Consider the following 8,919-nt stretch of genomic DNA (forward strand, 5'->3'; position numbering starts at 1 on the left):
TGGTAAGCTGGGATGCCAGATATATGAACCCATGTGTTATGGCTTTAGAATTTATGGACAGTTGCTGTGGCTATAGTACTCTGCTGTGTAGAGTTGTGACAGGCAGACCCTAATTCCCTTCTCTTGAGCATAGGCAGGACCTGAGACTTGCTTCTAACCAGCGGAATATAGCAGAAGAGATGTGATGCTTCCTTTGTGATTGTGTTACATAAGGTTGTAACTTTCATATTGCTGGGTGCTTCTCTCCCTCACTGGCACTGGAGAAATCAGCTACCATATTTCAGAGGCCCACATGGCAAGGAAGGGAGGGCCATCTTTGGCCAACAGCCAGCAGGAAACTGAGGCCTTCAGTCCTTCACTTCACAAGGAATTGAATTCTGCCAAAAATGTTGCAAGCTTGGAAGTGGATCCTTCTCCGGTTGAGCCACAGATAAGACCACAGCACTGGCTAACACTTTGATTGCTGGTGGCAGTCTTGTGAGACCCTGAAGCAGAAAATCTACACAAGCCATACCCAGATTCCTGATCCACAGAAACCATGAGATAATAAATGTGGGCTGGTTTAAACCACTAAGTTCATGGTAATTTGTTACACACATATAGATAAGTAATGCAGGTGGGCTAGTATGATTAGAGAGGGAAGACCAGAGAACAGCTTGATTCTCAGAGCCTTTTATCACTGGCAGCTTTATTAATCATTTTTCTTCTCTCTTCCTTCTCAACTCATCTTAGAGTCATGCTCCCTAAATGACCCTGATCATAAGAATAACCTGGAGTGCTTGCGAAATGTACCGAATTCCTACCTTTACGACTCATTGACTTGGTGGGGGAGGAGCCAAGGAGTCTAGAATTTCACCGAGACTTTCATGACATTCTTTTGCTCAGGCAAAGTTGAGAAGCACTGTCATATAGCTAGGGAGTGAATCTTGACCCTGGTTACATTTTAGACTCCCATAGAGTCTGAGGTGCATTGTCTGAGATGAAGCCTGGGGACTGGTATTTTTCTTTCTTTTTTTTTTTTTTTTTTTAAAAATACTCCCCATGTGATTTTAACATGCAGCCAAATTTAAGAACTGCTGATCTTCAGCAAGCCCTAGCAAGAAGATAGCAAATGTCAAGTACTCCATCAAGTAAGCATGCTAGTTATATAATGGGGAAGAGGGATAGAGGCCATTAATGTTCTAAGAGATATGTGCTTTCCCACAAAACTGACCTACTCCAAGCAAGACTGTCAGCTCATCTTTTTACGTTAAAGTGATTTATTCTAAAATGTTCCAAAAAGCACACATAATTGCAGGATGTTTGAGTATAAGATGTTTTTTGAGTATCAAAGTGAATAAAAGCTACCAGTGAATAGAATGGCAGAATTTGGTTTATAATATCTAGATTATTCTAGAAACTTGGGTGGAGGATGTAAAGTGTACATATTGTAATGAGGTTGACTATCTAATTTCTGGGGCCCAGTATAAAATGAAAACGTAGTGCCCCTTTTTCAAAAAAACAGCCCAAAGTGCCATTAAAGGAAAAATAAGTATAAAGCATTTACCTCTCTTCTGCAGTCTCTCACTTGGCTTGTCATGGTGTTTTGTATTTGCTATTTAATGTTGTTCTGAGAAAAGGAAAATTAAAATTTTAAATTATTAGCATGAGTATTACCATTCGTCTTTATATGACGTAATACCAGCTTTAAATGCAAATAGAAGAGCATTTAACTTGTGGACAGAATCACCGAAATTACCTAATTTATGTTTCATGGTGCATACATGCATATGTATTTTGTTCTTACCAGAACAGTGGAAACACTACACAAAACTAAATCAACTGTTTTTATTTTGCTTCTTTCTATGTGCACATTGTACCTCACTATGATTAGTTACTGGTAAGGAAGGACTTAATGGAAAAGGAATTACAGGCTTCCCTTCTTAGTCTTTTATTCTCTGTCATCATTTTTCATCCTAAGGAGTTGGCTCATGCAGGGTAACCCAGGATTTTTTCGTTTTGCATGTTTCTCAGAACGCCTGTGCCTTCTTTCTGAATTTGAAGGAAGTTGTGGTTTCAAGGGAAAGCATGGCCTCGCTTGGCTGTTAGCTTACTCACTTGTAGGTGTCCCATGCTTACATTGTCCTCTTTCTGAATCTCGCTGATCTCCTATGCACTGTGGGTTTACCAGAAGTCTGTGCTCATGGGCCACTGCATATGCTATCCATGAACAGGGCAGTAAGTAAAACCACTTTTGCAAAAATCGTTAGTTATTGGGACCTGAGTTTGGAGAATAACATGTTGGGTAGCGAGAAAGGTATAAATGATGTGCTCATCAAATCATAAGTGAAATCGTAAGTTTTGATTCCCCCTGTTCCTCCTTTATCAAATAATTCTGAAATCAATTCCTAAATTGATATCCATGTAGCATCCCAACATTATGACATACGAGGTATGTTTCTTACAGGCTACGTTAGATGTATCTCTTTTAAGGTTCTCTCAAAGGCTTGGAGAAGGGGTAGACAAAAATATTGCTCATCTATCCTATCCCCTTAGCTTCAGTCCATCTCACCAGAAGGGACAAGTTACTGAGCCAAAGCGTGGGCTGATTTTTAGGGAAAGGACATCAATGTAGGTTGGTAGAGTTAAAAGAAATATTTTCTTTTCCTCTTACCCAATTAAAATTTGAGAAATAGTCTTAGTACTTAGCACAAGTGAATTCACTTTGGAAAACGTGAAGGCATTTTGAGCAACAGCAGTAGACTGCTGCCCTTGTAAGATACATGTTGACTTACCAGGACCACCGGACCTAAGAGGGCAGGCCCAAATTGCCCTTACATTTTTATTTGGAACATTTCCTTTAGAAAACTTGTAACTTTTTTCCTGGTCTCTTTGAAATATATGTAAATCATTTTGAAAGCTCAAGAAGACTCTTTCCAGCATTAGGAACTAGCAGTGTCTTCCTTAAGGACCTGGGAGCCATCCCTTTGAAATGTAAACATCAAGGGAGTTATCACCTCCCGCTCTCAGTCTCTGTAGGAAGGTAGGAGCCTAACTTCAGAAGGGCCTGGATCCTGGTTGCAAAACCACCTGTGTCATAAAAGTAAGCAGACTTTATTTTTGCTTTGTACAAAACAAATTAACTAACACGATGGTCACCCCATTTATGGGGTGAACTGATGGTGAACTATGTGTAATAAACAATGTTGTCAAGTCCTCTTACTTGAGGACTAGTTATTGTTTATCTTCGGAATGTATATGTAAGGGGGTTATATTTGCTTGGTTCTACAGAGTGAGATTTCTTTCTATCTTCACAATTTCTAAGAGATTGTGGAATATGATATCCATTACATTTTGATTTAATGCATATTCAATAATGAAATTGTTTTCTTCCCCTTCTTCCTTTGTGAAGAGGTTTTCTGGATTGGGAGAAAATTTTATTTTATTTTTTAATTAAATTTCCACAACAACACTCATGAGCCTATCTTTTCTGCTTCCAAAGGAGACACCTCACTACACCTTAACGTCATGAGATATTTTGGTGGCTGGATCTCCTAATACCTTGGGTGTCTTGGTGGTTGGATCGCCTAACATCTTGGGTGTTTTGGTGGCTGGATCTCCTTCCCTCCACCTTCCAGGCATACCCAGCCTGGCACCAATGAGTAAAACAGAACTACTCACTGCCCAAATGAGACACAAAAACATAGCTTCCTCTTTGTGTTCCAGTGACTGTCACACAAGTCCAACATCACAAGTCAGGAGATATGAGCCCTTAAGGGAGGTCTAGCCAGATATTTACGCCCAGGCTCAGAGAGTTGAAGTTTAACATCCTCATTTTTTGTAGTCCTAGAATGATCAAGTGTGATCTTGTGAGACTGTCTTCAGTTTCAGTGAGTAAAAGGGCATCTGCTGATCCTCTCCCATCTTTTCATGTATTAGGTTAATATGTGGAAACAACAGGTTGCAGCAGAGAAAGAGGTTTAATCATAGAGCTACCAAATGAGGAGACTAGAGGAAACCTCAAATCCCTCTCTCCGAGGAGTTTGGGTCCAGGGTTTATAAGGGTTTTGGAGTGGGTGGAAGTGTGGAAATCATTGACGGGTGGAAGAGTGTAGGGTGAAGTCATGGATCAGGGAGATGAAGAAGCCATGTTCTCATGCTGATCCCATTTCTCTGTGCGTGCGTGGGGCGGGGGTGTCTTCAAACTGGTTGGTGTCAGCTGTTTTGCTGGAATTTAAGATCTGAAAAAAGTCTTAAGCAATTCTTAAACAAAAACCCTTCTAATTTTAACATCAGAGAGCCTATCTATAAGAACAATGGTGATTCAAATTGATTCTTAAACAAATCCTTATGATTCTAGTGTCAGAAATCCTATCTATAGGAACACTGGGGGTGCAAATGGTCAGTATCTGCTATGTAACTTTCAGTTACAAGGAAGGGGGTCAAAGTGCAGCCTGATTAATGCTTAATTATGGCTGTATTTCTATCCAGAATTCTTAATCCTGTGAGGGTGGTTTCAAAACATATCATTCTTCTGTAATGCTGTAATGCTTCACTTAGAGTTTCGTACTCAAGACTGAAGATGCACAAAGCCAGTGGCCAGACCACACAGGGCAATAGAACTTTGCCCTCCAGTCTTTGCAGGAATCTGCCTAGAATGATCAAGATTGGGTTAGCGATTGTCAGCTTCCCAAATATTTGCCCATCTTTCAACTTAGGAGGAACCAGAGAAAGACAAATATGCTCCCCCACATAATCACATGAGATGCTGTGCTTTTAAGTAGCCCACTGGCAGGTCCCCTGATGCCAACCACCTCCACTTGGGGCATACCTGAAGCCTTCCCTTTTCCACTATAAAGCTTTTTTATTTCTCCACCTGCCATTGAGTCTGTGCCAAACACAGTTGCTAGCGGTGGACTCCCTTGTGAAAGCAGATTTAGTCCTGGACTAAGAAGCCTAAATATACCCCTAAGCTTTTCATTTAAATAGTGATTGCATTTCTGCAAGGCTTGGATTCTTTATCATTCAGCTTTCTTGCACAGGACAATGAAGGTATGTTCCAGATATGAGGCAAACAAGATCCTTTTTCTTGGACATGGTTTTAAAGAACAAGGGTGACCTACTCTCAGACACTTTACGAAGTATGCATATGTGCATGTCTTTTTGCATGTGTAGATTTAGGTGTTTAGAAGCCTTAACGATCCCAGTTTTAAAAGCAAGGGGATGCCTGGGAAACTAGCGCGTATCTGGCACTGGATAAAGAAGCAATCAGCTGTCTTAATTTGCCTTCTTTTTTTTTTTTTATTATATTTTAAGTTTTAGGGTACATGTGCACAACATGCAGGTTTGTTATATATGTATACATGTGCCATATTGGTGTGCTGCACCCATTAACTTGTCATTTAACATTAGGTATTATCTCCTAATGCTATCCCTCCCCCCTCCTCCCACCCCACAACAGGCCCTGGTGTGTGATGTTCCCCTTCCTGTGTCCGTTTGTTCTCATTGTTCAGTTCCCACCTATGAGTGAGAACATATGGTGTTTGGTTTTTTTGTCCTTGTGATAGTTTGCTGAGAATGATGGTTTCCAGCTTCATCCATTTCCCTACAAAGGGCATGAACTCATCATTTTTTATGGCTGCATAGTATTCCATGGTGTATGTGTGCCACATTTTCTTAATCCAGTCTATCATTGTTGGACATTTGGGTTGGTTCCAAGTCTTTGCTATTGTGAATAGTGCCACAATAAACATACTTGTGCATGTGTCTTTATAGCAGCGTGATTTATAATCCTTTGGGTATATACCCAGTAATGGGATGGCTGGGTCAAATGGTATTTCTAGTTCTAGATCTCTGAGGAATCAGCACACTGACTTCCACAATGGTTGAACTAGTTTACAGTCACACCAACAGTGTAAAAGTGTTCCTATTTCTCCATATCCTCTCCAGCACCTGTTGTTTCCTAACTTTTTAATGATTGCCATTCTAAGTGGTGCGAGATGGTATCTCACTGTGGTTTTGATTTGCATTTCTCTGATGGCCAGTGATGATGAGCATTTTTTCATGTGTCTGTTGGCTGCATAAATGTCTTCTTTTGAGAAGTGTCTGTTGATATCCTTTGCCCACTTTTTGATGGGGTTGTTTGTTTTTTTCTTGTAAATTTGTTTGAGTTCATTGTAGATTCTGGATCTTCAAGGAGAACTACAAACCACTGCTCAATGAAATAAAAGAGGATACAAACAAATGGAAGAACATTTCATGCTCATGGGTGGGAAGAATCAATATCATGAAAATGGCCATACTGCCCAAGGTAATTTATAGATTCAGTGCCATCCCCATCAAGCTACCAATGACTTTCTTCACAGAACTGGAAAAAACTACTTTAAAGTTCATATGGAACCAAAAAAGGAGCCCGCATTGCCAAGTCAATCCTAAGCCAAAAGAACAGAGCTGGAGGCATCACGCTATCTGACTTCAAACTGTACTACAAGGCTACAGTAACCAAAACAGCATGGTACTGGTACCAAAACAGAGATATAGATCAATGGAACAAAACAGAGCCCTCAGAAATAATGCCACATATCTACAACTATCTGATCTTTGACAAACCTGACAAAAACAAGAAATGGGGAAAGGATTCCCTATTTAATAAATGGTAATGGGAAAACTGGCTAGCCATATGTAGAAAGCTGAAACTGGATCCCTTCCCTACACCTTATACAAAAATTAATTCAAGATGGATTAAAGACTTACATGTTAGACCTAAAACCATAAAAACCCTAGAAGAAAACCTAGGCAGTACCATTCAGGACATAGGCATGGGCAAGGACTTCATGTCTAAAACACCAAAAGCAATGGCAGCAAAAGCCAAAATTGACAAATGGGATCTAATTAAACTAAAGAGCTTCTGCACAGCGAAAGAAACTACCATCAGAGTGAACAGGCAACCTACAGAATGGGAGAAAATTTTTGCAATCTACTCATCTGACAAAGGGCTAATATTTAGTTTGCCTTCTAACCTTCAGAACCCTGCCAATTCTGAGAGTATCATTACTATTATTTTTTTTTACAGCAATATCCCCTGTGCACAATGCACCCTTGCAGGATTTCTGCCTGACTGTGGCCCATGCATAGTGCTCAGTGGAGACTGAAATATTTCTCTGCTAGGCTCTGTTCTGCAGATGCATTTGCAGTGAGCTAGAATACGCTTGCCTGCCTTGGGAAGCTTTGAGGCAACAATAGCGTGAAACCAATCACAGTAATTATCACATTAACTCATGTCATTTTGTTCAAATACTTTCAACCTTTAAAATGTGGGAGCTAAGCTCTAAGATCCAATGCTGTCTCTAGCATCCTGATGCTTGTATAGCGTACATTTAGTTAAAAGGAAACTCATTTTGAGGTTATAATTAGCAAGAAAAATTTACAATCTGCAAGCTCAGGTTCTATTCATGGACTTAACTCCCTTTTCTTGCCTGTCTCTAAAAATCCAGGCCACTGTATTCCACTAGCAATCGCTATTGTTATTTTCTGCACCTAATAATTAAATTTAGTTCATTAACCTGGATATTCTGCAGTGTTTTTTTTTTTTTTTGGTCATCAATTTTACATTCAGCAGTGCATAGGAAAAAATTGCAACCCTGAAAAACCTTGTGCAGGACCCTAGATTTAATATTCTTTTAAAATTTCATTTGTTCCCCCTGTAGAGTTAGAAGTTGTGCACTCTGCTTTTATTTTATATGCACATTTGCGCACTCTGCTTTTATCTTAATAGGCACATTTAGCTTAATAAGTCTGAAATGAATCAAGGCTTGCTTTTCAAAATAGAAATAATCAACGGCTCCAGCTTTATTTATTGAAAAGACCATCTTTCCAGCATTGAAATTGCAATGACATTTTTGCCCTAAGTCATGTGTGAGTCTCTTTCTGGACTCTCCAGTCTGTTTTGTTTGTCTATGCATGTGTCGTGACCACACCATCTTAATTACTATAGTGTCACATTGAGAAAGTGAATATCAAATGCACCATGTCCAGATTATATACAAAATTAGAACTCTGACCAGCCTAGCAGTCCAACCACAGCCTCTGCAGCTACTGACGCAGAATGATCAGGATCTGGTCAATTTCTGCTAGTTTCCCTAGTTTTTGCCTTTTCTTCCAACATCAGATCCAACCAGGGAAGATCAAATATGTTTTGCAAGCCAACCACCTAAAGCATGCTACTTTTACTTAGTCTGACCACAGTTTTCTCACACCACTAACCTCCAGTGTTCACACCTGAAGCCTTTCCTTGTTTTCTTTTACGGTAAAGCTGCACCATTCTCCTGCCTGCATGTAGGTTCTGGCCACAGATTGGTGGCTGACTCCCTTCCCATAGCAAGCTTTGAATAAAGAGTTCCTGTTCTCATTTGGGTTAGGAGTGTCTTTACTTCCACCATTATAAGTCTCAAAATGTGGAACGTTAAGTCTTCCAACTTCTTTAATAATGTCTCGGCTATGCTGGGTCCTTTGAATTTCTAAAATTTTAGAACAACCTTCTCAATTTCCACAAAAGTCTGCTTGTTTTTTTGATTGGGCTTGAATTCAATTTATACACCAGTTTGGGAACGGTAGAAATCTTAGTAATACTGAGTCTTCCAATCTGTAAAAATGGTATATATTTCCATTTATTTATGCCTTTAACAAATTTCTCTCAGCGAAGTTTTGTAGCTTTCAGTGTAGAAATTTTATACATGTTCTTGCAAATTTATTTTTAGGTATTTTATGCTTTTTGTTGATTTTATCAGTATTATTTTTGTTTTGTTTTGTTTTATTTTCGTTTTAGTTTTTGAGACAGCATCTCACTCTGTCGCCCAGGCTGGAGTGCAGTGGTGTGATCGCGGCTCACTGCAACCTCTGCCTCCTGGGTTTAAGCAATTCTCCTGCCTCAGCCTCCTGAGT

At 39.7% G+C, this 8,919-nt stretch overlaps 1 annotated feature.

Annotated features, from left to right (window-relative positions):
• Positions 2,704-3,247: an enhancer, noted in NCBI's record as "NANOG hESC enhancer chrX:7366971-7367514 (GRCh37/hg19 assembly coordinates)". NCBI's record gives its function as "activates a minimal SCP1, AML or CMV promoter by ChIP-STARR-seq in naive H9 embryonic stem cells {active_cell/tissue: H9 hESC(naive)}" and the evidence as "EXISTENCE:reporter gene assay evidence [ECO:0000049][PMID:30033119]".

Source organism: Homo sapiens, chromosome X (genome assembly GCF_000001405.40).
Source record: "Homo sapiens chromosome X, GRCh38.p14 Primary Assembly".
In the NCBI taxonomy this organism is placed as follows: Eukaryota; Metazoa; Chordata; class Mammalia; order Primates; family Hominidae; genus Homo; species Homo sapiens.